At 54.7% G+C, this 23,390-nt stretch overlaps 1 protein-coding gene and 1 long non-coding RNA gene across 12 annotated transcripts in view, besides 25 other annotated features; one reads left to right on the top strand and one right to left on the bottom strand.

Annotated features, from left to right (window-relative positions):
• SEPTIN9 (septin 9) overlaps window positions 1–23,390 on the bottom strand; it is a 219,098-nt gene that overhangs the window by 22,835 nt on the left and 172,873 nt on the right. The window contains exon 1 of one of the 11 annotated variants that reach the window (NM_001113495.2): window positions 1,859–2,127. The gene's annotated coding sequence lies outside the window, so the exon portion shown is untranslated. 11 annotated transcript variants of the gene reach the window in all.
• Window positions 1,901–2,741: an enhancer, noted in NCBI's record as "H3K27ac-H3K4me1 hESC enhancer chr17:75471103-75471943 (GRCh37/hg19 assembly coordinates)". NCBI's record gives its function as "activates a minimal SCP1, AML or CMV promoter by ChIP-STARR-seq in naive H9 embryonic stem cells {active_cell/tissue: H9 hESC(naive)}" and the evidence as "EXISTENCE:reporter gene assay evidence [ECO:0000049][PMID:30033119]".
• Window positions 2,819–3,319: an enhancer, noted in NCBI's record as "H3K4me1 hESC enhancer chr17:75470525-75471025 (GRCh37/hg19 assembly coordinates)". NCBI's record gives its function as "activates a minimal SCP1, AML or CMV promoter by ChIP-STARR-seq in naive H9 embryonic stem cells {active_cell/tissue: H9 hESC(naive)}" and the evidence as "EXISTENCE:reporter gene assay evidence [ECO:0000049][PMID:30033119]".
• Window positions 3,320–3,820: an enhancer, noted in NCBI's record as "H3K4me1 hESC enhancer chr17:75470024-75470524 (GRCh37/hg19 assembly coordinates)". NCBI's record gives its function as "activates a minimal SCP1, AML or CMV promoter by ChIP-STARR-seq in naive H9 embryonic stem cells {active_cell/tissue: H9 hESC(naive)}" and the evidence as "EXISTENCE:reporter gene assay evidence [ECO:0000049][PMID:30033119]".
• Window positions 4,506–5,211: an enhancer, noted in NCBI's record as "H3K27ac-H3K4me1 hESC enhancer chr17:75468633-75469338 (GRCh37/hg19 assembly coordinates)". NCBI's record gives its function as "activates a minimal SCP1, AML or CMV promoter by ChIP-STARR-seq in primed H9 embryonic stem cells {active_cell/tissue: H9 hESC(primed)}" and the evidence as "EXISTENCE:reporter gene assay evidence [ECO:0000049][PMID:30033119]".
• Window positions 5,206–5,335: an enhancer, noted in NCBI's record as "active region_12850". NCBI's record gives its function as "activates an Ori minimal core promoter by ATAC-STARR-seq in GM12878 lymphoblastoid cells {active_cell/tissue: GM12878}" and the evidence as "EXISTENCE:reporter gene assay evidence [ECO:0000049][PMID:35858748]".
• Window positions 5,206–6,998: a biological region, named in NCBI's record as "BRD4-independent group 4 enhancer GRCh37_chr17:75466846-75468045".
• Window positions 5,212–5,919: an enhancer, noted in NCBI's record as "H3K27ac-H3K4me1 hESC enhancer chr17:75467925-75468632 (GRCh37/hg19 assembly coordinates)". NCBI's record gives its function as "activates a minimal SCP1, AML or CMV promoter by ChIP-STARR-seq in primed H9 embryonic stem cells {active_cell/tissue: H9 hESC(primed)}" and the evidence as "EXISTENCE:reporter gene assay evidence [ECO:0000049][PMID:30033119]".
• Window positions 5,696–5,835: an enhancer, noted in NCBI's record as "active region_12849". NCBI's record gives its function as "activates an Ori minimal core promoter by ATAC-STARR-seq in GM12878 lymphoblastoid cells {active_cell/tissue: GM12878}" and the evidence as "EXISTENCE:reporter gene assay evidence [ECO:0000049][PMID:35858748]".
• Window positions 5,799–6,998: an enhancer, noted in NCBI's record as "BRD4-independent group 4 enhancer chr17:75466846-75468045 (GRCh37/hg19 assembly coordinates)". NCBI's record gives its function as "activates an origin of replication core promoter dependent on BRD2, P300/CBP, MED14 and CDK7 cofactors, and independent of BRD4, by STARR-seq in HCT116 cells {active_cell/tissue: HCT116}" and the evidence as "EXISTENCE:reporter gene assay evidence [ECO:0000049][PMID:35650434]".
• Window positions 8,554–9,106: an enhancer, noted in NCBI's record as "H3K27ac-H3K4me1 hESC enhancer chr17:75464738-75465290 (GRCh37/hg19 assembly coordinates)". NCBI's record gives its function as "activates a minimal SCP1, AML or CMV promoter by ChIP-STARR-seq in naive H9 embryonic stem cells {active_cell/tissue: H9 hESC(naive)}" and the evidence as "EXISTENCE:reporter gene assay evidence [ECO:0000049][PMID:30033119]".
• Window positions 10,252–11,004: an enhancer, noted in NCBI's record as "H3K27ac-H3K4me1 hESC enhancer chr17:75462840-75463592 (GRCh37/hg19 assembly coordinates)". NCBI's record gives its function as "activates a minimal SCP1, AML or CMV promoter by ChIP-STARR-seq in naive H9 embryonic stem cells {active_cell/tissue: H9 hESC(naive)}" and the evidence as "EXISTENCE:reporter gene assay evidence [ECO:0000049][PMID:30033119]".
• Window positions 11,005–11,756: an enhancer, noted in NCBI's record as "H3K27ac-H3K4me1 hESC enhancer chr17:75462088-75462839 (GRCh37/hg19 assembly coordinates)". NCBI's record gives its function as "activates a minimal SCP1, AML or CMV promoter by ChIP-STARR-seq in naive H9 embryonic stem cells {active_cell/tissue: H9 hESC(naive)}" and the evidence as "EXISTENCE:reporter gene assay evidence [ECO:0000049][PMID:30033119]".
• Window positions 11,005–11,837: a biological region, named in NCBI's record as "H3K27ac-H3K4me1 hESC enhancer GRCh37_chr17:75462088-75462839".
• Window positions 11,708–11,837: an enhancer, noted in NCBI's record as "active region_12848". NCBI's record gives its function as "activates an Ori minimal core promoter by ATAC-STARR-seq in GM12878 lymphoblastoid cells {active_cell/tissue: GM12878}" and the evidence as "EXISTENCE:reporter gene assay evidence [ECO:0000049][PMID:35858748]".
• Window positions 12,438–12,497: an enhancer, noted in NCBI's record as "active region_12847". NCBI's record gives its function as "activates an Ori minimal core promoter by ATAC-STARR-seq in GM12878 lymphoblastoid cells {active_cell/tissue: GM12878}" and the evidence as "EXISTENCE:reporter gene assay evidence [ECO:0000049][PMID:35858748]".
• Window positions 15,176–15,375: an enhancer, noted in NCBI's record as "active region_12846". NCBI's record gives its function as "activates an Ori minimal core promoter by ATAC-STARR-seq in GM12878 lymphoblastoid cells {active_cell/tissue: GM12878}" and the evidence as "EXISTENCE:reporter gene assay evidence [ECO:0000049][PMID:35858748]".
• Window positions 16,016–16,075: an enhancer, noted in NCBI's record as "active region_12845". NCBI's record gives its function as "activates an Ori minimal core promoter by ATAC-STARR-seq in GM12878 lymphoblastoid cells {active_cell/tissue: GM12878}" and the evidence as "EXISTENCE:reporter gene assay evidence [ECO:0000049][PMID:35858748]".
• Window positions 16,096–16,215: an enhancer, noted in NCBI's record as "active region_12844". NCBI's record gives its function as "activates an Ori minimal core promoter by ATAC-STARR-seq in GM12878 lymphoblastoid cells {active_cell/tissue: GM12878}" and the evidence as "EXISTENCE:reporter gene assay evidence [ECO:0000049][PMID:35858748]".
• Window positions 16,628–17,241: an enhancer, noted in NCBI's record as "H3K27ac-H3K4me1 hESC enhancer chr17:75456603-75457216 (GRCh37/hg19 assembly coordinates)". NCBI's record gives its function as "activates a minimal SCP1, AML or CMV promoter by ChIP-STARR-seq in primed H9 embryonic stem cells {active_cell/tissue: H9 hESC(primed)}" and the evidence as "EXISTENCE:reporter gene assay evidence [ECO:0000049][PMID:30033119]".
• LOC105371903 (uncharacterized) lies at window positions 16,870–21,224 on the top strand. Its single transcript, XR_934990.3, has 3 exons — window positions 16,870–16,915; window positions 17,380–17,439; window positions 17,541–21,224. It is a non-coding gene; the product is annotated as an uncharacterized LOC105371903 (long non-coding RNA).
• Window positions 17,242–17,855: an enhancer, noted in NCBI's record as "H3K27ac-H3K4me1 hESC enhancer chr17:75455989-75456602 (GRCh37/hg19 assembly coordinates)". NCBI's record gives its function as "activates a minimal SCP1, AML or CMV promoter by ChIP-STARR-seq in primed H9 embryonic stem cells {active_cell/tissue: H9 hESC(primed)}" and the evidence as "EXISTENCE:reporter gene assay evidence [ECO:0000049][PMID:30033119]".
• Window positions 19,699–20,313: an enhancer, noted in NCBI's record as "H3K4me1 hESC enhancer chr17:75453531-75454145 (GRCh37/hg19 assembly coordinates)". NCBI's record gives its function as "activates a minimal SCP1, AML or CMV promoter by ChIP-STARR-seq in naive H9 embryonic stem cells {active_cell/tissue: H9 hESC(naive)}" and the evidence as "EXISTENCE:reporter gene assay evidence [ECO:0000049][PMID:30033119]".
• Window positions 20,195–20,274: an enhancer, noted in NCBI's record as "active region_12843". NCBI's record gives its function as "activates an Ori minimal core promoter by ATAC-STARR-seq in GM12878 lymphoblastoid cells {active_cell/tissue: GM12878}" and the evidence as "EXISTENCE:reporter gene assay evidence [ECO:0000049][PMID:35858748]".
• Window positions 20,314–20,927: an enhancer, noted in NCBI's record as "H3K4me1 hESC enhancer chr17:75452917-75453530 (GRCh37/hg19 assembly coordinates)". NCBI's record gives its function as "activates a minimal SCP1, AML or CMV promoter by ChIP-STARR-seq in naive H9 embryonic stem cells {active_cell/tissue: H9 hESC(naive)}" and the evidence as "EXISTENCE:reporter gene assay evidence [ECO:0000049][PMID:30033119]".
• Window positions 21,577–22,483: an enhancer, noted in NCBI's record as "H3K4me1 hESC enhancer chr17:75451361-75452267 (GRCh37/hg19 assembly coordinates)". NCBI's record gives its function as "activates a minimal SCP1, AML or CMV promoter by ChIP-STARR-seq in primed H9 embryonic stem cells {active_cell/tissue: H9 hESC(primed)}" and the evidence as "EXISTENCE:reporter gene assay evidence [ECO:0000049][PMID:30033119]".
• Window positions 22,484–23,390: an enhancer, noted in NCBI's record as "H3K4me1 hESC enhancer chr17:75450454-75451360 (GRCh37/hg19 assembly coordinates)". NCBI's record gives its function as "activates a minimal SCP1, AML or CMV promoter by ChIP-STARR-seq in primed H9 embryonic stem cells {active_cell/tissue: H9 hESC(primed)}" and the evidence as "EXISTENCE:reporter gene assay evidence [ECO:0000049][PMID:30033119]".

Genomic DNA, 23,390 nt, shown 5'->3' with positions numbered 1-23,390 from the left:
GGGAGTCAGAGGCCTCAGGCTCTGGTTTCTGGCTCAAAGTGACTTTTTGCAAGTCTCTCCAGCCTGGCAAACAGGCCATGCACCTCCTGACCTCCCTCCCAGCTCCTGCTCTGCGAGCTCCTGGGTGCCCGAGGCTGTGGCTTACTCAGTGATATCCCCAGCTCCTAGTGCAGCCCGTGAGTAGCACAACACACCCGGCTCCAGAAATAACTAACACATCCGCCAACAGATGCGTGGAGAAACCCAACGTGCTGAGTCAACACAGCGGACTATTTCTCAGCCATAAAAAGGCACGAGCGTGCGCCAACACAGATGAACTCTGAAAACATTCCAACTGCAAGAAACCAAGCACAAAAAGTCACATCTTTTAGGGTTCTAGTCATATGTTCAGAATAAGTACATCTGTAGGGACAAAGCGCAGATTGGTGATTTCCAGGGGCTGGGGGAGGGGGAGTGACTGTGTACCGAGGATGGCGTTTCCTTTTGGGGTGAGGAAAACGTTCTGGAATTAGAGGTGATGCTTATAGAAGGTTGTGAAAAAATGCCACTCAACTGTGCTTTCTGAATCGGCGGATGGTGTAATATGGAAATTATATCCCCATGAGGACGGGAGAGGAAGGGAAAGAAGGGAAGGAGGGAGGGGGAAGGAAACAGGGAAGGAAGGAAAAAAGGGAGGGGAGGAGGGAGGGACGGAAGAAGGGAAAGAAGGCAGTCATTTCTAGTGGAGCTGGATTGAAGAGTCCAATGGGTGCAGCAAACCACTATGGCACTTGTATTCCTATGTAACAAACCTGCACGTTCTGCACATGTATCCCAGAATGTAAAGTAAAATAAAATAAAGAGTCCAGTGTTTTCCACAAGTGCCCAGGAGCCAGCTTTACAGCTCAGAGGACAGCTGAGGCCCAGAGGCCAACACTTAGGCCTGAGGTTCTCAAGTTGGTGTCGCCAGACCATGCCCCAGACAAACTCCCCCATCTTCTTGCAGCAAGGGTGTTTCTAGGGTGGCAGCCAGGCGGAGGTGTCAGGTGGCGGGAGACCTTGACAGTTTCTCTGCAGGTTCCCATTCTGAACCCAGGCCTTATGCCAGGGCCCCTCTGCCATTCACTGGCGCTGGTGGCAGTAGGTCACCGGTCCCGTGATGGGGACTGCCCCCAAATCTGCTCATCCTGGGGACCAGCTCCCTCCTCCCCGCAGGCGTCCACTGGGCCATCTTTTCTCCAGAGTTGCAGGTGGGTCTAAGGCAGGGATGAAAGGGCTGTAATCCACGCAGCCCTGAGCCAGCACCCTCTGGGAACATCTGCACTTAGTGACAAATTCTTACCCCAACCCCAGGACCTGCCGAGGATGAGGGAATCAGATTGCTGTCTGTGGCTGGGACGGGGGCTGTAGGATATCTGGCTGGGAGGCAGTGCCCAGAGAGGAGGCAGCTATTGGACATGACACACTTTAGGGGCACTCACACTCATCACAGCCCCAGGGCTGACCCTGGCCCACCTGGCCTGGTGCCGAGAGAGGGCTTGACACAGCAGGCTTGCAAAGCCTGACTTGGAAACCAAGACCCAGGGGCCGCCCTTCTCTGCCTACCCCTCCCTGTGTGTCATGCTGCCTGGTCTACGTCCCAGAAATGTCCACACAAGTCCCATCAGCCTTGCTGGCCAAATGCAGAGATGGTGCCGCTGGGGCAAGGGACCCTGAGCCACCGCCCAATGCCATTCCCAGCTCCAGGGGAGTGACAGCCGGGCCTGCACCCCAGGACAAAGTGCTCAGGGTCAAGTCAATGCCATTCCCCTGTCTTCCCCAAACCCAACCCACACCTGGCTCTCAGAGCACGGACCGAAATGGCCACATCCCCACACACCTTGTCTGTCACTGCCAATGGTGGCCAAGCAGAATGCAAGGTCATCCTCCTCCTGCCCACGGAGGCCTGTGAAGCCACTGACCAGGCCACGGCAGGGGAGCCGGTGGCACTCACCACACCCTGTCAGCCTTCCAGGCCCGTGTCCAGGAGAAAGCTGCCGGCATCTACAGCTGGTGCCCTTGCCCCGGCGAAGACTTCCTTGCCTCCATCCACCCCGGCCCAGCGTGGGCCCAGCAGTCTCCTTACTTTGCCTCGTAACAATGCACACTGGAGCAGCCTCCAGCTGCCCTCCCTCTGCAGGCTCCCCTGAATCCAGACCCTGGGGCCAGCACCCCTGCGGCAGCCCTACGGCCACCTGCAGGCCTTCCCAGAAACTTGAGCCCATGGGGGCACTTCAGGTCCTATAAACTAACAGATGCTCCCTGTCCCCCACAAAGGGGCTTCTTAAAGCTGAGTGAGTCCCTGATGCAGGCAATGCTAGGAGGACAGTGTCCGGCCAGGGCTGCTCCCTCCTCCTCTCCTATCTCCCTGGGTGCCTGCAAAGTCCTTCAGATCCCTGCTGAATCCTGGGGAAGCCCTGCCTCGCAACCAGGGCTTGCCCTCCCCGCTCCCACACAGAGCCTGCTCTCTGCGTCCAGACAGTCTCCCCACGATGGTAACTGAATAATGATGTGTGCGGTTTCCTCTCACCACAACCCCCCCACACAGGGTTTGTGAAGCCAGACACCTCATCCATCACGCTCACCCCAGCCCGGCTTTCTTCAGAGCAGCGTAGGGCTCACGGCAAGCCCCGGCAAAAAGTCTGGTGAATGAATGAACAAATGAAGAAACAAAGCTCATCACAGCAGCCGAGGTTTACTGGGGGCTCTCTGTGCCAGGCGTTACTCTAATTTTTTTTTTTAGAGAGTGGGTCTCACTAATGTTGGTCAGGCTGGTTTCAAACTCCTGGCCTCAAGCGATCCTCCCACCTTGGCCTCCCAAAGTGCTGGGATTATAGACATAAGCCACTGCACCGAGCCCCAGGTGTTACTCTAAACGCTGCTCAGGAGCTATTATAACTGATGGATCATCACACAATCCTATAAGGTAGCCACTGTTATTGTCCCATTTCACAGATAAGGAAACCGAGACCGAGAGGGCTTTTGTCAATTATGAGGGTCGCAAAGCGAGTAAGCGGTAGAGCCAGGATTTGAAGCCAGGTAGGTGAGCCCCAGGCTGCTGACCCCCTCCCCAGGCCAGGTCTTCGGGAACCATGGAAAGGCTGGAGAAGTATGGGGTTCCTGCAGCCAGGACCCAGAAGGTGCAGCTGCGGTGCAGGCAGCTCAGCACTGAGGCCTTGGCCTCCAGCTCCTCCCTCAGTTGCTCTCCCCCAGGGAGCTGGAGGCAGAGCCCTGAACTGCCAGGAGAAGATTCTACCCGCCAGCCAGGGAAAGTTGCCAGGGCTCTTCCCAGGGCTTAGAGCCACCCCAGGCCTATCAAAGCACATTAGCATCTTAGTTTCCATAACTTCCCTTGCAAGAAAGATGATGGTACCAGCTACTGGGCCGGGCTGGGGGTCCCAGATTCCAGGGGCCCTCTCAGGCCTGCCTATGGCTCTCCCAGGACACAGATGCTTACTTGAGAAACCCTAGTGCACCAGGGGTCCCACAGCCAAAATAAAGAGGCAGAGCTGCCCTGGGGCCCCTGCCAAAGCTCCCAGGTAGATCTACCCAGCAGACACCAAAATGTCCATCCCTCATCTGAAAACTCCACCTCCAGGAGGCCGCCCCAGGTTGGGCTGACAAAATCCACAGAGACCTCAATGATGACTTCTCACTTCAGGTATGAGTGAGTGGGTGGAGGGAGAAGCTATTGTTAACTATTAACAGTTCAGGAAATGCAGGTAAAGGAAAGAGAATGGTAAGGCGACAGGGCTGGAAACTAGACACACGTGCAGAGGTGAGCAGACCTCAGAGAAAGAACTGCTCTGGAACAAGATGGTAAAGAAACTATAGACAATAATGGTAGACGATGATCCTGGGGTCCTAGTGGACCAGGACCATAACATTGATTCATTTGACAAGTATTTATTGAGTGTCTACTTCACAGTAACAAAAAGATGACACTACAGGCTTGAGAGTAGTCAGAATGAAAACAGTGGTGGCACATGGGAATTTGAAGTTCATTTATTTAAATGTTTATTAGCCGAGACTTCCGGACAGATTTGAAGCAGTCTTTAACATGTAAGGAATTCACAATCTGATACAGTAGTACAGGACATGTGTGTGCCACAAACCTCTGGTGAAAAGTAAAGACTCTCCCTAGAAAAGTATACATTGAAGACAGACAGACAGACACACACGTATTTTGAACGGTTCATCAAAGAATCCCTAGGCCCGTGGATCCCAGTTAAAAAAATAACTTGGCACTCTGGGAGGCCGAGGCGGGAGGATCGTTTGAGCCCAGGAGTTCAAGACCAGCCTGGGCAACGTAGCGAGACCCCATCCCTATAAAATGAAATAAAATAAAATGAGAATTAAAAAAAACAAACAAACTTGGTGTGATGAGAACTTACAGAATTTAATAGGGTTATCTCAGCATTACCTGCAGCACTCTCTAAACTTTTGACCACACACACAAAGTTCTGGGTTCTACAGCTAGAGAAGAGGGAGAGCAGGTTAAAAACAATTATTCAAGGTGGAAGATGAGTCTGAGAAACAAAGAGGTAAGAGGAGAAGACTGAGGCCAGCTGCTCTCCATCCCTGAGCTCCGGCAGGAGGAAGCTCTCAAGTGAGAACAAGTTGCTGTTTGCGGAGTGGACTCCAGAGCGGGTGGACAGAGACGATAAGGAATGTCATCCCTGGGGGGCTCTGAAAACAGGATATTTTCCCATCTCAACTCTGCTTTTCACTGCATTGTGTTCCTACTGACCTACCCAAGCTACTACAAACACTCCATAAATGTCACTGGGGACTTCCTGTTCTCTTCTAAAGATGGAAACACTGAATATAAATGACCAAATTGTGCAAATGTGTGTGGGTGGGGGATCAAGGACTGAATTTTTAAAATGCACACAGCTCATCTAATTTGTTAACTAACTCCAAATCAAATTACACTTCACACTTTGTATGGGACAGGAAGCGTCTCCTCAAAGCCTGGTTAGGACCTGGGATGCCGGAAATCTGAGACTCTGCCTTCCCCTCCTGAGACACTCTGAAACCCTGCTTAGAAATCGAGCACAATGGCTCTGGCCTCCCAGAGAAAGACACGGATTTGCAAAGGCAAAGAGCTGCATTTTTCTCCGAGCTGGAGCTCTTTCCGGTTTCCACTATGGGGCTTAAACAAAACTGCAGCTTTACAGTTCCCCTGTTGGTGTTTTCTCCTTCTTGGTGACTAACAAGGTGGAAGAGCCAACAAGAACCCTGTGTGCTCCTTTGCAGGACCTGGAAGGGACAGGTGGTGTGAGTCTGTCTCCATCCAGCCTCCTCTTTCATTCATTCAGGGGCCGAGGCGCCCCCGAGGCAGGGGGCGGGGGTCCCCACTTTTACTGCCGGCCAAGGTTCCTCCAGCTTTTCCCTCGCCAAACCCTTTCAAGCAAACCTCTCCTCTATTGTGGAGGAAGGAATCTCAAGCAGTTTTGCCTTTCTGCCAGCACGGTTTCAATTGGCCCCAGTCGGTAAAGTCAAATTTGGACAAGGTCCAAGGGCTCCTCACACCACCCGCCGCTTTCTGGAAGAGGCCCTCCTCTGTTCTTTCATTTGCAACCCACCACCTCCCTAGCCTGAGTTTTTTCACCCAGGCTCCGCGGCCTATTGAGACATCAATCTTGGGCCAGAGCAAGCTCTGACCTGCAAACCATCACCATTCACTTCCTAAAGAGCCACTCTCAGAACTTAGGCTGCAGGGAGGGCAGGCCAAGGATGAATCCTCTGACTTCTGGTGCGGTGTGTGGTGGGGGGGGCTATTTTATATTCTGTTTTCTGCTGCCCCCTTGCCTTGTCTCAGGCTCTGAAGTGGATCCACTGCAGAGGGAGGGTCAGGGAATGGCCCTGATGCCTTCCCCACCCCAAGGAACCTTCCAGCAGGAGCGGCCCCTACCTCAAAGCAACCCCAAGATCCAGCCCGTGCCAGCCCTCCAGCCATGTCCACAGTGGCCTGTCAACCAGAGATTCCTTTAGTTCCTGGCAAATCTGCAAACTTACAAAGAGAAAGAAAAGTTCCCCCGTGGGTGGGTGGACACTGGCCATCTGTCACAGGCTGGAATTTCCTCTTATCAGGGATGTCCCCTAAGCAGGGGTTGGGGAGGGCAGGGCCCAGAGCTTCCCTCTCTCCAGCCCCTTCTGCTATCAGCAGACCTGTCAGCAGATACACAGCAGAGCTCAGCAGTGAGGCAACAACAGGGGCTGTGGGGGCTGGGGCTCCGCCTCCCCCAACTTATGAAATCATCTGAAATAACAAAACTTAGACAAGGGTCTCTGGGGTGCAACAGGGTGGCCCCCTGCCAGGTGCTGGGTAGAAAAAAAGCTTTCCCCCAATTCCCTTCTGCTGTGCAGATCAGCTCGGGCCCTGGGGATGCTGCAGAGGCTGCCCCATGCCCAGGCCCTTCAGAGACAGCAGGGGGCTGGAGGCACGGCCTGCTTGGGGGTAGGGGACAGGCAGGGAGGGGCACATTCCTGGGCCATGAGTAGGAGCCTGACTAAATGACCCCTTCAGGAGGGAGAAAGACATCGCACACAACTGTCTGATTATAGCCAGAGGGGCTGGAAAGGTGGGGGAAAGGGGTGAAGGGGCCAACTGTTCCAGGTGCCCCCAATCCATGCAGCACCCACCTGGACTGACAAGAGTTGAGAGACTGGAATTGTTTTCTCTTCCCGTCTCCAGGCCCTGCCCCAGGAGTCCTCCTGCTCAGGAGCCTGGGAGTTGAGGAGGTCTGGAAGCAGTGGGCCCACAGTGCCATCGCCTTGGGAACCCACAGTGCCTTGGATGTGGCTCCCTCGGTCCTAGCTTTGCAGGCAGCCTACCTGGACTGCACCCACCTCCCAGAAGAGCTGCTCAGAATCCTGCATGTCCGAAAGAAAGACCAATCAAAGAAGTGAGGAAGCCAAAGAGAGGCCTATGAAAGCTTATGACGCATTTTCCAAGTGCACACCCCAGCAACTTCAAATGCTTTCTGAAGTAAGGATGGGGATGGATGGTTGGATAAATGGATGGGTGTATGGGTGTGTGAATGGGTGAGTGGGTGGGTGGATGGATGGACAGATGGATGAATGGATGGGTAGGTGGATGAACAGGCAGGTGAATGGATGGGTTGGCGGATGAATGAGCAAATGGATGAATGACTGGATGGATGGGTGGATGAGTAGATAGGTGGATGAGTGAATTGGTGGATGAGTGGATAGATGGATGAGTGGATGAGTAGATGAGTGAATGGGTGGATGAGTGGATGGGTGGGTGAGTGGATGAGTAGACAAGTGGATGGGTGGATGAGTGGATGGGTAGATGGATGGGTGAGTGGATGCGTGGATGAGTGGATGGACGGATGAGTGGATGGATGGATAAGTGGATGGGTAGATGAGTGGATGGATAGATGAGAGGATGGGTAGATGGATGGGTGAGTGGATGGGTGGGTGAGTAGATGGGTGGATAAGTGGATGGACAGATGAGTGGATGGGTGGATGAGTGGATGGATACATGGGTGGATAGATGGGTGAGTGGACGGATGATGAGTGGATGGGTGGATGAGTGGATGGTTGAGTGGATGGATAAATGGGTGAATGAGTGGATGGGTAGATGAGTGGATGGACAGATGAGTGAATGAGTGGATGGGTGGATGAGTGGATGGATAGATGGGTGAATGAGTGGATGGGTGGATGAGTGAATGAGTGAATGAGTGGATAGGTGGATGAGTGGATGGGTGGATGAGTGCATAGATAGATGGGTGGATGGGTGGATGAGTGGATGGGTGGGTGAGTGGATGGGCAGGTGGATGAGTGGATGGATAGATGGGTAAATGAGTGGATGGGTGGATGAGTGAATGACTGTAGATAGGTGGATGAGTGGATGGGTGAATGAGTGGATAGATGGGTTGACAGGTGGATGAGTGGATGGGTGGATGGGTGGGTGCGTGGATGGGTGAGTGAGTGGATGGGTGGGTGGGTGGTAAGATGGGTGGATAGGTACATGGAGCCTATTCAAGGAGTCTCAGAAACACACACATACCCTTCCATCCCAGACTCTCCCCAGGAAAAAGCAGTGTGCATGGACCGCTACCTGGTCACACCTTGAGATAGCCACTTTCATCCTCTCTGGAACACCGCCTGGGGGGATGCAGCACAGGGCATCCAAGCAACCCCTGAGCTCAGGGTAGAGACACCAGGAAGCAGCAGGCAGGCCGTGACCCCGCAGGCCTGCTCCATGGCTCCTGCTGCCTGCACCATGGCATGAAGCTCAGATGCATCTCTGGACTTGGGGTTCTGACCAGATGGAGCCACCAATCCTCTGAAGAATGAAACACACAGGGGTCACCCTTGCCTCCTAGCTGCAGGGAATGACGACCACCCAGCCCTTCCTTTCCTCAAATCTTCTCCAGGCTTCTGTGCATGGCTCTGCTGACCTTCCTCCTGTCTCTGGCTATTCTCTCAGCCTCTGCCGTCTCCTCCTCCGCCCTCACCCACGGAGTCAGTCCTGGTGCCTTGAGAGCCCCTCTCCCTAGCTGACTTCACCCAGCCCCTGAGCATTCAATGCCAACAATGCCACCTTCTTTGTCCAGATTCACACTTGAGTGCCAGCCTGACTCACAGACGTGTCCCTGGGCCCCGCTGTGCCAGGCCCTCTGCTGGGTCCTGGGTATCTGCAGCCACTGTCACTGTCAAGCCCCAACATCTGAAGGCATCTTGAACCCAATGACCGTGCCCCAGGCTGAACTCTGGAGCTCTCATCTCACCTGCCTCCCACCCCATCCCCCATCTAAGTGAACAGCCTCTCCAGCCAACAGCTATTGCAGCTAGATCTCCAGGGGCCGGGCCTGGGCCCTCCATTTCCATTACTCCGAATCCACTCATCCATCCCAAACTCTCATCAATGTTAACCCAACACATCTCACAGCCACCACCATTAGCTGCCCCTGTCCGAATCCCTCCTCCTCAAAGCACCAGGGGGCGTGTGTAAAATTTACTAATCTGATGATTTCCCTCTATGAAGCCGTGACTGGTTTCCATTGCACCTGGGATATACCAGATTCCTGTGGCTCCAGAATCCTGCCTACCACCGACGTGCTGTGTGACCCTGAGCAAGTAACTTAACCACTCTGTGCCTCAATGTTCTTACATGTGAAATGGGATAATAACATCTGTCTCATAAGAATGCTGGGGATCAAATGAGATATTTATTTATGAAGCACATAGTGTTGTGCCTGGTCAGTAAATGCTTGAAGTCTTTGTTAACAAAACACACGCCCCTAACCTACTCTTCAGCTTCCATCCACGCACAGCCTCTCTGGCTGCCTTTCAGCTCTTCCAACAAGGCTACCCACAGAGGTCCTCCCTGCCGGGACCATCCCTTCCCCATGCTGTTCCTAGAACTCCCACTTGTTTTCCCGGGATAGCTCATCTACACTGGGTTCCTCAGTTTTTGTTTTGTTTTGTTTTGTTTTGTTTTTTTTGAGATGGAGTCTCACTCTGTCGCCCAGGCTGGAGTGCAGTGGCACTATCTGGGCTCACTGCAAGCTCTGCCTCCCGGGTTCACGCCATTCTCCTGCCTCAGCCTCCTGAGTAGCTGGGATTACAGGCGCCCGCCACCACGCCCGGCTAATTTTTTATATTTTTAGTAGAAACGGGGTTTCACCGTGTTAGCCAGGATGGTCTCGATCTCCTGACCTCGTAATCCGCCCGCCTCTGCCTCCCAAAGTGCTGAGATTACAGGCTTGAGACACCACGCCCAGCCTAGGTCCCTCAGTTCTTACACACGTGGCCCTCCGATTGCTGTCTGGGGTCTGTCGCATTCACTACCCACAAAACCTTACACGTCCGAAGCACCCAGTAAGACGCTGTGAATGAGTGAATGAATAAATGAATGAATGGCCAGTCTGCTGTCCTTTCGTCCGGCCCCTCGTCTCTCCCAGACCAGCATGGGGGCAGCCACGGTTCCCGTCTACCCCGGTAACACCGCTCCCTCTGTGCCGGCCGCGCTGGCCAGAGTCCTTTCCCACGGCGTCTCCGCGGCTTCGGTGTGTGGCCGCCTGTGAATGAGACTCATGATTTCCGGCTTCCACCATCCTTCTGGAGCCACAAAGCATTAAGGCGGAAGGATGGATGGGCTTCCTGGGACAGCCGGGGTGGGAGGCCGGTTCAGGAAATTTTCTTCAGGAAATGGTCAGTGTGGGATGAGGCGCCCGGTGGGAGGGGAGTGGAGTGGGGACTTGGGGCCTGGCTGTTCTGCAGCCAGGGACCCTAATCCCCACCCTCTTCCCCGCCCACTCCCCAACCCCAGTGCTGGGCTCAGGGCCCCTGGGGTCTCTCCCAGGAACACAGAAGACACAGTAAGGACCAGGGACACAGGACAGGCAGAGCCCATGGGCAGGAGGCCTCCAGCCAGTACACCTGAGCCTATGCCTGGCTCCAACCAGACACTGAGACCTTGGCCAGGCCACTCCCCACGCTGAGGCAGGGGGGCCCCTTAGAGGCCACTGGTCCCCAAGCACCGCGTGGAAGACATGCCACGGAGAGCTAGCATCTTCTGAGACACCAGCAGAAGGTCAGACGTCTCGCGGCCCAAGGATGACTTGGTCCCAGCGTCTATCCATCTGCCGTCCTGCATGAAAAGCCTGACGTGACATGGCCGGCCCCAGCGGAAGAGTGATTCGGGAACCGGCAGAGCGGATTTAGTAACTGGCAAACTGGATTTAGTAACTGAGACACTGCCAGGGGCTTGGTAGAAGTCCTCTAATGTACCAGACCCAGCCCTGACCCCCACAGAGCCCAGCCGAGCACTAAAAGGTGCAGAGGCCGAGCTGAGCACCAGGGGAACACTGACCCCAGGGCTGACCGGTGCTGTGCGTGCACTCTACAGTTTACAGACGGCTCACATTTACTCGATCGCATCTGACCCTCTCCTGCGAGGCCTTCCTCAGATTCTCCGTTCCCTAAAGTCATCAGTTGTGCCTTCTGAAATCAGAGCAAAGTAATAAAACTGCAGTAATAGCGTGTTCTTATGAACGCTGTGATGTTAGCTGGTTAAATGAGGGAGCCCCCAGGGTCTCCCACACTGCCCCGACCCTGTGTGCCTTCTGGTCCTGGCCTACCCTCCACACCTCCTGCTTCTCTTCTTTCTCCTCCTCCCGAGGACCCAGGGCCTGGGGTTGACCTACTGTGGGACTCCAACGGTGACCTCCTGGAAGAAATGCCCGCTTCTTCCTTCCACCCAGTAGTGACCCCTGGCTCGCTCACGCTCACGCAGCTAACACAGGCAGCAGCCGGAACCTGGAAGCTCCTGGGGTGGGAGCCTGTCCCCTCCCAGGCCCTTCCAGCCCGAACTCCGGGAAGGAGCTACATTCATATGGTAATTTCTCCCAAGGCTGGGAGGGGGAAGGGGCCTGGCCCGGGCCTGACCACTTTCCTGAGGCTGCGCCCACTGGGCCCTCCAAGCCAGCTGGGCTCCTCGGCTGCATCTCTGAGGGATGGTAACAGACTACAGTGCAAACTGCCTACCGGCTGGCTGGGCAGTGGGTGCCCAGATGCGGGCCAGGGCCTTCGCTTTACAGGCTGTGTGGTGGTTTAAAGTGGGCACTTTCATGGGCACACATTTGTGTTACAGTTTACTCGTGTGTGTGTGTGTGTGTGTGTGTGTGTGTGTGTGTGTGTGTGTGTGTGTGTGACAGTCCAGAAACATGGTAACTTATAGCTTCCCCAAGACGTTGGCCCTGGGAGACCTGCCCACCTGGGGGCCCCAGCACTTCCAGCCTCCCCCAGGAAGGTCTTGTCTCCCTTGGTTTGAAGTTGGCCCCAGGGAAGAATCCTCTCAGAAAAATAAAAGTCACTTCCCCCAGCCTCAGCCCAGCCTCCTTCCAGGGGTGAGTTACACCAAACTCACCCTCTCCCTCCCCTCCCACTTCCTCTCTCACGCTGCAACTAGCTGCAAGTGGCTCACCCACCCAGGCCTGCCAGTCTACCACAGAAAAGACACTCGAACTTTGCATTTCCCCTTTCTGACTTGTTCTGGGCTCCAACAGGCAAAGGAAACTGGAAGTCAGCAGCCAGGACCCAGCTGCAGGCCCCCGGGGTCACTCTGCGTCCCCACCCCAGCCCCACCCATCCCTGCGTTGATTCAATGTCCATTCATCCTAGTTCATGGAGCGAGGCCTGGACTCAAGATAAAACAAAGGGGGCTTTGGCCTCCTGGGGCTCACAGTGCCCGGTGCCGGCGAGACAACCTCAGAGCACAGCACAGAGAAATGGCTGCGACACGGACTCGCAGCACCTGGCTGGCCAAGCACAGCAATGCACCCCCACCAGGCCTGGGTCCCTCAGCAGACACATGGCTTAAAGGCTGGTTGGCTAAACCACATGATCTTGCAATTACCCAAGAGAAATGAAAACATGTTCACACAAAAACCTGTAGACCAGCACTCACTGCAGAATTCTTCACAACAGAATTATGCCAAAAAGCAGAAACAACCCAAATGTCCATCAGCAGATGAAGAGATACACAGTGTGGTCTATCCACGATGGAATATTATTCGGCCATGAAAAAGAATGAAGCACCAGCACCTGCTACAATGTGGATGAGCCTTGAAAATATTCTACCAAGTGAAAGGAGCCAGACACCAAGGCCACATACTGTACGATTCCACTTATACAAACTATCTAGAACAGGTGAATTCATAGAGACGAAGGCAGATGAGCGGTGGCTAGGGGCTGAGAGCCCGGAGTTGGGAATGGGGATTGGCTAATGGGGGCAGGGTCTCTTTTGGGGATGATGAAATGTGCTGGGATTAATGGCGATGGCTGTGTAACTGTGATGGTTAATTTCCTGTGTCAGCCGGGCGCAGTGGCTCATGCCTGTAATCCCAGCACTTTGGGAGGCTGAGGCGGGTGGATCACGAGGTCAGGAGATTGAGACCACGGTGAAACCCCATCTCTACTAAAAATACAAAAAAAAAAATTAGCCGGGTGTGGTGGTGGGCACCTGTAGTCCCAGCTACTCGGGAGGCTGAGGCAGGAGAATGGCGTGAACCTGGGAGGCGAAGCTTGCAGTGAGCCAAGATCGCGCCACTGCACTCCAGCCTGGGCGACAGAGCGAGACTCCGTCTCAAAAAAAAAAAAAAAAATTTCTGTGTCAACTGGACTGGGCTATGGGGCACCTAGGTAACCGGTCAAACATTATTCTGAGTGTGTCTGTGAAGGTGTTTTTGGATGAGTTTAATATTTAACCCTTTTACCTTTTAGAAAGTTCAGCTCACTGCCAGCACTCACTTAATTTTACATAAACACGCTCTTTGAGGCTGAAGCAAATCTGACTGGATGCTCTGTGTGAAAATTAAATATAAAAACTGGCCAGGCGTGGTGGCTCACGCCTGTAATCCCAGCGCTTTGGGAAGCCGACATGGGCCAATTATTTGAGGTCAGGGGTTCGAGACTAGCCTGGTCAACCTGGTGAAACACCGTCTCTACTAAAAATACAAAAAATTAGCCACGTGTGGTGGCAGGCACCTTGTAATCCCAGCTAAACTCAGGAGGCTAAGACTGGAGAATCACTTGAACCCAGGAGGCAGAGGTTGCAGTAAGCCGAGATCGTGCCACTGCACTCCAGCCTGGGCAACAGAGAGAGTCCGTCTCAAAAAACAAAAAAATTAAAAAGAAAAAAAATTTTTTAAATTGTTCCTGCAGTTATTTCTAAGCAAAACAACAGAGTCATCTGAGTCGTCTATTCTGGAAAAATCAGATTCATCAAATGAATCTTCAGCCAACAACTGATCAAGAACAATGTTAACATCACTTGTAGGAATGCTGTGTTCTCTAGGATTTGACATTTTCAGCGATCGAGAATTACTATTTTTTTTTAAATTTTATTTATTTATTTATTTTTTGAGATGGAATCTTGCTCTGTCGTCCAGGCTGGAATGCAATGGCGCGATCTCGGCTCACTGCAACCTCTGCCTCCCGGGTTCAAGCAATTCTCCGGCCTCGGCCTCCCAAGTAGCTGGGATTACAGGTGCCTACCACCACGCCTGGCTAATTTTTGTATTTTTAGTAGAGATGGGATTTCACCATGTTGGCCAGGCTGGTCTCCAACTCCTGGCCTCAGGTGATCAGCCTGCCTCAGCTTTCCCAAGTGCTAGGATTACAGGCATGAGCCACCACACCCAGCTGAGAATTACCATTTTTTTTTAAAGGAAATACCACTACTAAAAATGGAATGCTATAAACAGAATGATGTCTTTTGTTTCCAAAGTCGATATACTAGAGTGATGTGAAAATAATAATAAAAGCAAGATACTTCCCGGCAAATTTATCTTGGGGTGAACGCTGCAGCCACAAGCACTGCTGGTGAGTATTCTCGGGGCAAACAGGAAAAGGGTGCAATCAGGAGCCTGGGTAAAGCAGACTGTGTGCTCTGATGGGGGTGGGCCTCACCCGATCAGTTGAAGGCAACAGGGCTTGGAACGCACACTCCAAGATACAGTGCCTTGGCATAGTAAATATTTTCAGCTGAAGGAATTTAAGAAATGGCAGGTCCAAGAAGAACTCACTGACCTGCCCCTTCTCTGAAGTAGATCATAAGCCCCTCACGTAAGAGGTGCCCTCCCTACACCCAGCGGAAAGGAACAGCCTCATCTCCAGAGACAGAGGATCTGAGAGGGGCCCCAGTACACAGGTCTTGCCGAGACCCCCACGGGCTCACTGTTCAGCTCATCTTTTGTTGCTCTGTCACAGTTTCCCACGACTTTCCACTCTTCATCAAACCCAGCATAAAAACGCTCAGGCCTAGGCTAGGCACAGCAGCTCACACCTACAATCCCAGCACTTTGGAAGGCCAAGGTGGCCAGATCACTTGAGGTCAGGAGTTGAAGAACAGCCTGGCCAACATGGTAAAACCCCATCCCTACTAAAAATACAAAAATCAGCCGGGTGTGGTGGCACACGCCTGTAGTCGCAGCTACTTGGGAGGCTGAGGCATGAGAATGGCTTGAACCCAGGAGACAGAGGTTGCAGTGAGCAGAGATCATGCCACTGCACTCCAGCCTGGGCAAAAGACAAGCAAAAGAAATAAACAAAAAAACTGCTCAAAACAAGCAACAAACAAATTTAAAAAACAAGCAAAACAAATAAAAACTGTTCAGGCCTAGGCCGGGCACAGTGGCTCACACCTGTAACCCCAGCACTTTGGGAGGCCAAGGCAGGAGGATTGCTCGAGCCCAGGAGTTTGAGACCAGCCCGGGCAACATAGTGGGACCCTGTCTCTACAAAAAATAAAAAATTAGCCAGGCGGGGTGGCACATGCCTGTAGTCCCAGCTACTTGGGAGTCTGAGCTGGGACTTAAGAGTGGGTTCAGAGCAGCTCCCGGGGCCGGCAGCTGGGCCCCAGCTTGAGCCCAGGAAGTCAAGGCTGCAGTGAGCCGTGATCGGGCCACTGCTCTCCAGCCTGGACGTGCGACAGAGTGAGACTTTGTCTCAAAACAAAACAAAAACCGCTCAGGCTAACGGTTTCTCTGGGTCTTCATTTCCTTATGAAGGCTCGGTGTCAAGTAAAACTTACTTGAATTGTTATGCTTGTTTCCTGTTAATCTCTGTCAGTCTAATTTCCAGGGTCCCAGCCAATGAATCCAAAACCGATAGAAGGAAAGGGTTTTTTCTCAGATTTTGTTCTGATCAGGTCTTTGTAATTTTGTGACAAAGGCCTGAAGGTCTGAATAGGAGGACACAAGGCCTGAGTGAGAGAGAATTCTTCCCGCTTAACCGCCTTCAACCTGGAACATCAGATTTTTCCTGCTTCAGACTCAAACTGACACATGCGCTTTTCCTGGGTCTCGGGACTGGAACGACGCCATTGGCTCTCCTGGGTCTTGGGCCTTCAGGTGGACACCAGAGCCGCAACATGGGCTCTCCCGTGTCTCCAGCCTGCTGATTTACTCTGCCAATCTTGGCACTTGCCAACCTCTGTAATGAGGTGAGCCAACTCCTCATAATAATAAATCTCTTTATCTAAACACACGTACACACCTTCTATTGGTTCTGTTTCTCTGGATGACCCTAATACAATCACTTTGTGAATACAGCAAAACCATTGAACTGTAGATTTTAAAAAGGTCAACGTCACAGTATGTGAATTCTATCTCCATAAAGCTATCACTTAAACAGCAACAAGAAGCTGGTGAGCCCTGTGCACTCCTCTGCAAACAAGAGCAGGGACAGCGTCGTCCTTGCCCTCGGATGTCCCCAGCCTCCAGCCCGAGTCTAGGAACATCTTTCATGTGTCCCCTCCTTCAATTCTGTAGCCCAAGGGTGGGGGCGGTCCTCAGCCTGGTACCTTCTCTGCAGCTCCTCACCCTCTCCTCACACCAGCCAATGGACACAGAGGTCCCCCCATGGATTTTTATTTTTATTTATTTATTTTTATTTTTTTGAGACAGAGTCTCACTCTGTCGTCCAGGCTGGAGTGCAGTGGTGTGATCTCGGCTCACTGCAACCTCCGCCTCCTGGATTTGAGTGATTCTCCTGCCTCAGCCTCCCGAGTAACTGGGATTACAGGCACGTGCCACCACACCCAGCCAATTTTTTGTATTTTTACTAGAGGTAGGGTTTCTCCATGTTGGCCAGGCTGGTCTCGAACTCCTGACTTCAGGTGATCCACCCGCCTCAGCCTCCCAAAGTGCTGGGATTAGAGGTGTGAGCCACCAAGCCCAGCCTCCCCACAGATTTTTAAAAGGGCCCTGGGTAACACAGACTGGGATCTGCTAAGTCACTAAATGACCCTTTTAAATAAAGAAGGAAGTCATAAACCTCCACTTAAAAGGAGTGGGGGATGGCAACAGAAACACAGCCAGTCAGAAGCCGGAAGGGTCTCACTCAACTCATCCCCAAGGTCTCTGGGCAGAAGGGACAAGGGAAAACCTGCCTCCCAAACACCCCACTCGGCACCCCACTCCCCGGATGCAAGATGCAGCTGTGCATAGCGGCAGCAGTGAGGACCCTGGCCTGGCAGGCCCCCACATCCCTTGCTGAGGGCTCCAGGGGCCAGGGCTGCTCAACAGGACCAAGAGGAAATGACCACAGGAGCCCCCAGCTGCTGGGGGTGGCCCCCGCGGTTTCCTGGGCCATTTCTGGTGAACCCACTCCAAATCTGGAAGAGGCCCAAGCCCTCTCGCTCCCCGTATCCCAAACCCCAGCCACGCCAGCCAGGAGCCTTGGGGGATGAGAAAAAATTCAATTAAGCCCCACTGTGCTGGGTGACATAGGACCCAGAAGGAGAGGGGCCCCTGGACTGCTCAAGTTTAATGATAACTTCAGCAGCTGGGTCCCCAAGTTAATTAGCTCTTTCCTCCCCAGCAGTCCTCGGGGAGCACCACGGTGAGCTGTGAGGAGCCAGCCCAGCACGGCACACACAACGTAGGGGCCTTCCCGCACTCCCACTCCACAAACACCAGGGCCCCTCGGGGGACCAGCCTCCCATCCCTGAGTCATTTCTCCCCCACCGCTCTCTCAACAAGGAACAGAGAAGGAGCTTCTACTGCTTAACCAGATGTAGAAACTGACGCACGCACAGAGAGGTCACGTGTGATATGGTTTGGACGTTGTCCCCTCCAAATCTCATGCTGAAATGTGATCCCTGATGTTGGAGGTAAGGCCTGGGGGGGGTGGGGCTTGGGTCATGGGGGTGGATCCCTCATGGATGGTTTGGTGCCCTCCCCACGGTCACAAAGTCCGGGAGATCTGATTGCTATAGAGTCTGGGAGGGCTGGGTGAGGTGGCTCACACCTGTAATCCCAGCACTTTGGGAGGCCAAGGTGGGTGGATCACAAGGTTAGGAGTTTGGGACCAGCCCGACCAACATGGTGAAACCCCATCTCTAGTAAAAATACAAAAAAATTAGCCGGGCGCGGTGGCATGCGCCTGTAATCCCAGCTACTCAGGAGGCTGAGGTTGCAGTGAGCCGAGGATTGTGCCACTGCACTCCAGCCTGGCTGACACAGCGAGACTCCATTTCAAAAAAAAAAAGAGTCTGGGAGTTCTCTCTCTCGCCATGTGACGTGCCAGCTCCCCCTTCACCTTCTACCATGAGGAAAAGCTTCCTGGGGCCTCCCCAGAAGCCAAGCAGATGCTGGCACCACTTGTACAGCCTGCAGAACCGTGAGTCAAATAACCCCCCAGCCTCGGCTATTCCTTATAGCAACTCAAAATGGACGAACACAATGTATTAGTTTCTCTTTCTGGACCCCACAGTGTGCCTGGCTGGGGCTGTGCTCTGGGGAAATGGCAACTGCGAGGTCCTCACAGACCGGGCCCGGGTCTTAACCACAGCCGCATCTCAGCGCCTTGATATTGCTGAGTGGATGCCCAAAAAGCACTGCTGGGTGAATGTGCGAGTGAATGATGAAGATGGAGGTGGCTGTTGGTGCCAGGGCAAGGCCCCAGGAGTCTGGGGAGGTGGCACCAGGCAGTTCAGGTCAACGGCTAACCCTGGACAGGGCCAGGAGGCAGCCAGAATGGTTAAGGACAGCTAAGGGACTTTAGGCAAGTGGTCTCACTCTTCCCAGGCGGGCAGGAAGCAGGAATCAGACCAAGGGGTGCCAGGTGGTAGTGGCACTCAGGGGGCCTGAGGAGCAGGTGCAGGCTCAGCAGGGCTGGTGGTGCCACGTGTGGGGCCGACCGTGGCCCCGTTCACTGCCTCCACCTCCTGGACGCATGGGCCCATGGCCCCCAAGGCCCTCCTCTGTCCCCACGCCCACCTTTCCAGGCTCCACTTCCAGACGCCAAGCCATTTTCTCACTCCCATCTCTCCCGTTGCCCCTATATCTGAGCTGACCTCCTCCCTGAGCTCTGGTGAAATTCTAGAGAGCCCAGAGGTGCAGCTCACACTCCTGCGCCACAAGGCCTTTGCAGTCTCCACCTTCCTGGGACACTCCATCTTAGAGCTGGGTGTGTACTTATCTCACTGGATCAGAAACTTCAGGAATGCCCATCTTGCATGCTCCTGCTCCCCACTTCCCGCCCGCCACTCAGCCCGTGGCTGCCATGTGGTTGGGCCTTGGCAGCCACCGCAGCTGGTAACACACAATTAGCACTTCTGTGTCCAGGTTCCGTGCTGAGCCTCTTCAGTTTCATCCCCGTTTGTCCTCAAAATGGTCCCTGACATGGTAACCATCATTATCCATTTTTCAGACAAAAGACCATAGCTCTAGGAGAGGAGGAATGGCAGGTCTGAGGCCACGTGGTTCGTAACAGGCAAATGGACCCGGCAGTCACTCTACCCTCGAGTGGGGCTCCTCCCTGTCTGCAGACCTCGCTGAGGTTTTAGAGCCTGGAGCCAGTGAGTCTCCACTGAGCACAAGGACAGCGGCGGTGCCGGGGCTGGAACAAGGCAGGGAGGGGCCTCCCAAATCACAGTCCTGGCTGTGGACCCACCTTGGGACCCCGCCCTGGCTGGGAACCTTGCTCCAGCCCACCCGGGACACCTTCCCACCCTGAGTCCTGCACTGGGCTGTGCACGGGGTCTGCTGAATGAGTGAGGGCAGGAGGGATGGTGAGCAGGGTGGAAAGCGACTATGGTGGGTAGGCTTCTGCTGGAAGCTTGAAACATTCCTGGCGAGCAGGAAAATACCAGGGGAAGAGGTTACAGCCCTCAGAAGGGCTCGCTGGGGACTGTCCTGCAGCCCTCTCATCGGGACAGGCAGAAAATCCAGCCCCCCTTCAGGGTGAGTCCAGGAAGCCTGTGGGGGCACAGGCTCTAGCTAGGGTGGCGCGTGGGTTTACCCAGGGGACGCTGCCGTGGCCCAGAGTTAGGTTAAACCTCATGTATTCTGTAAATAATTATTTATAATAAACAAGGCTTATTCACCCTCTAAGAAGAGTAAAACATTACAGGAGGCACTTTCTCACCAACTAAACACGTCATAGTGACTTCACTGCGTCACTGAGGGAGGGCACCAGGGTGCCCGGTCCAGAGTAAACTGTGGCCAGGGGGACGGGCACACTGCCAAATCGGCCAGACCTCCACCCCTGAAAATGTGGGCTAAATTCTCTTCAACAAGTTACAAGGAAATTCAGTGTGAACCCCATGTTTCCACCACTATCGGCTGTTCTGGAAGACTGGGAGGAGGGGTCTTGCCTTTTCTCCACTCTTGGTCACAGGGTTTGAGGCCACAACTTGGACTGGGACCCCAATCTCCTTCCTGGGGAAGAGGCTCATTCAGGGTGTCTGCCAAGGCCCAGCGCATAAACACGGAACTCGCTTAACGTCTGCTCCGGCACCTCTGGGCCTCCCACACTGGGTTCCCCTATCTGACCCCTCAAGCAGTGAGAGTGATGGGACATGGGGCGCCTCTAGGGGAGACTTGGGGAGATGGAGCAAGCTTCCCAGCCCAAGGTGAGGTCCCGAGGCATGGTCCATGCAGTGATGCTTCTCACGGGAGGCCTGAGGCATGACCAGGAGCTTGGAGACTCAGCAGAGGTCTGGGCATGGGACTCTCGGTACGCAGCCAGAGCGAGGGCCGAGGCTGTATGGATGCAAGCAGGTGACCCTGTGCCATCGGGTGCCATCTGTGCCGGGCCCTGTGCAGCCGTCCCCATCTCACTGAGCTTCAGGGAGGTGAGGCAACCATCCCAGGCACACAGCCCCGGGGGCAAAGGCTGGACCCAGGTGTGTCTGATTCCAGAATTCAAGAAGACAAGTAGAGGAGTCTGAGTCCCCTGAGACCGCAGTGATGGCTTAGTGCCTCAGGATGGCCAGGCTGGCTCCTGCAGCTTTAGTCAACCGTGCCCTCCTTCAGTCATCCAGGGTCCCAGCGCTGGTCCCTGAGACCTGGTACTGGCCATAGGGGCCCATCTCTGGCTGTGGACATCTAGTGCTGGTCACTGGGATCTGGTATTGGCCGTGGGGACTTGTCCTTGGCTGTGGGGACCCAGCGCTGGTCCCTGAGACCTGGTACTGGCCATGGGGACCCGTCCCTGGCTGTGGGTACCCGGTGCTGGTCCCTGAGATCTGGTACTGGCCATGGGGGCCCGTCCCTGGCTGTGGGTACCCGGTGCTGGTCCCTGAGACCTGGTACTGGCCATGGAGGCCTGTCCCTGGCTGTGGGTACCCGGTGCTGGTCCCTGAGATCTGGTACTGGCCGTGGGGGCCCATCCCTGGCTGCAGGGACTCAGTATTGTCTATGGGGTCTGTCCCTGGCTTCGGGGAGCCAGTAGTGCCTGTGGGGCCCATACCTGGTGGTGGGGACCTGGTGCTGGAGGATCCTGACAGCAAAACCACAGAGGCGACAGGTAACAGCAATCCATTAGCACAGCGTGTGGCCTGCCCTAGCCACGGCACCTTCCTCCACTCTGTGCCCTCTCACCACAAAGCCTAGTGCAGGTAACGAAGCCAAGAGGTGGAGAACCCGCAGGAGGACGCACACCACACCTGCTCCTCGTGTGGCGTCCCTGCACCCTGGGTGGCTGAGACCCCCTGCTCCTCCTCCAGGCCTCTCCGTGCCAGGTCTGCGCTGTTCTCCCTGGCCTCGGCTCCCACCCACCCGGCCCCCCAGCTACAGACAGCAGCGATTCTCCCTCCCACTCAATGGGGCCACTGTCCAGCCCATCATTAGTCTTCAGGGCTGGCAGATGACACCGGCCACGGGCAGTGTTTCCTCCGGCCCCAGCACACAAGGCACAAAAGACACCATCCTGCCCCAAGACCCTCCTAGTCACGTGGCGCATGGGAAGCGGTGCCGGGAATCTTCCAGGGCAGTCCCCTGCCCCGGGGGAGATCGTGTTCAAATCCCCGAGGAAATGCTGCTCTTTGGCCCTTTTTCTGAAAAACCCCCCAAGGAGACCTTGTGCGGAGCGTGCAGGGAGAATGGAGATTCTTGTGAGACTGTCTCGGGATAGCCTCACAGAAACCACAAACTATTTGGATAAAAGTTGAAAATCTGCGGTCACACAATGCTGACCATTCATTCAAACACTCGTTGAGCAAGCACCTATGACGTCTGGGAACTCAGGACGTGGATCGACAAGACACAATCCTCATGTCCGTTCTAGTGACAGAGAGAGAGACGGCACCATCAACCCCGCCCGCTGGGGGCCCCCTTGGAGGGGGCGTGCAGGTTCAGGGCTGAATCTGCCCAGTGGATGTGCCACCCACGTCTGCGTACCTCCTGGTCCTGTGGTGGCCCCTGGAACAAAGGCTGAGAGATAAAAGACAAGGATCTGGGGGAGGGAGGACGTCCATGCACATTCCACTGGGGACACCAGCAAGGATGACTGTTCAGTGACCATTCAGTGACCGAGTCACCTGGTGCTTGGAGCCTGGCACCCACAGAGCAGGGCGGGGGCAGCAGGCCCTGCCGGGGGCACAGGCCTGAGAAGGGAGTGCTGCCAGCCAGGCTCGACGGGACAGAGAGCGAAGGGCCCCCTTCCTGAAGGCCATGCAGAGGCCGGAGGTCAATGTCAGCAACTCCATCAACGTCAGTCCCCTGAGACCGACCCAGAGTTGGGGTTCCAAGAGCAGTCTTGGGCGCTCAGGAGCCAAGATCTCACAGAGGGTGTTCCCCACCCTTAGCTTAGGGAAAGTGACAAATCTGGAGTGCTTCTGCCCATGGTCCAACTACTGAACCCAAATGAATGCATTGACAAATCGCATTTAGTGTTATTTATAGGGAAAAGGGAGGGAAAAAAAAAAAAGAAAGAGAGCCAATCGCGTTTAGGCCGGCCGGCCAGGGGGAGGACAGATGGGCCATCACCTCTGCCACTTTTCAGGCCCTTTGCACTGACCCCCCACCCCCAGCAAAACCAAGGCCCAGCCCCTTCCCGCAGCCCCGGAGTCGGCTGGGATGAAGCAACTCCTGCAGGCAGATCATTAGGTCTACTGTGATGGTTCCAGCAGGGAACCCAGCTCAGGCCACAGCAGCTCAGGCGCCTGCAGAAGGCCCAGACCTCTGGGTGTTAAGCTCTCTCTTCCTGCACCCGCTCCGGGGCCCGGTGGGGTGGGCAGTGTGCGATTCCCAGGGTTGATGAAAGAGAGGAGGAAGAGGCTGAGCGGCGGCGAGTTTGAACAGCCAACTCTGGGAGGGGCTGAGGTGGGGAAGGTTCCCACTGCTGCTCTACAGGCCCCGGAGCAAGGCTCCCATGATTCCACCAGCAGCTGGGCAGGCACAGGCCCAGGTGCTGAGTGTGCCAGGATCTCCGCTGCTTCCTGGGTGGGGGCGAGAGGGACCCTCATGGGCCTGTAATTAGACCCGCGCCTTCCCAGCCAATTCCTCATCAAACAAACTCACACGTACAGCGGACTGGGCATGGCCGCCACCCTCGGGAGCCCTCCTGGGAAAGCTTCCCAAGGCTCTGCTGAGCTCCGGGAACAG

The sequence above is a fragment of the Homo sapiens genome, chromosome 17, assembly GCF_000001405.40.
Source record: "Homo sapiens chromosome 17, GRCh38.p14 Primary Assembly".
Lineage (NCBI taxonomy): Eukaryota > Metazoa > Chordata > Mammalia > Primates > Hominidae > Homo > Homo sapiens.
Note: the sequence above shows the minus strand (reverse complement) of the source record. Positions and strands in the feature narration are given on the sequence as shown.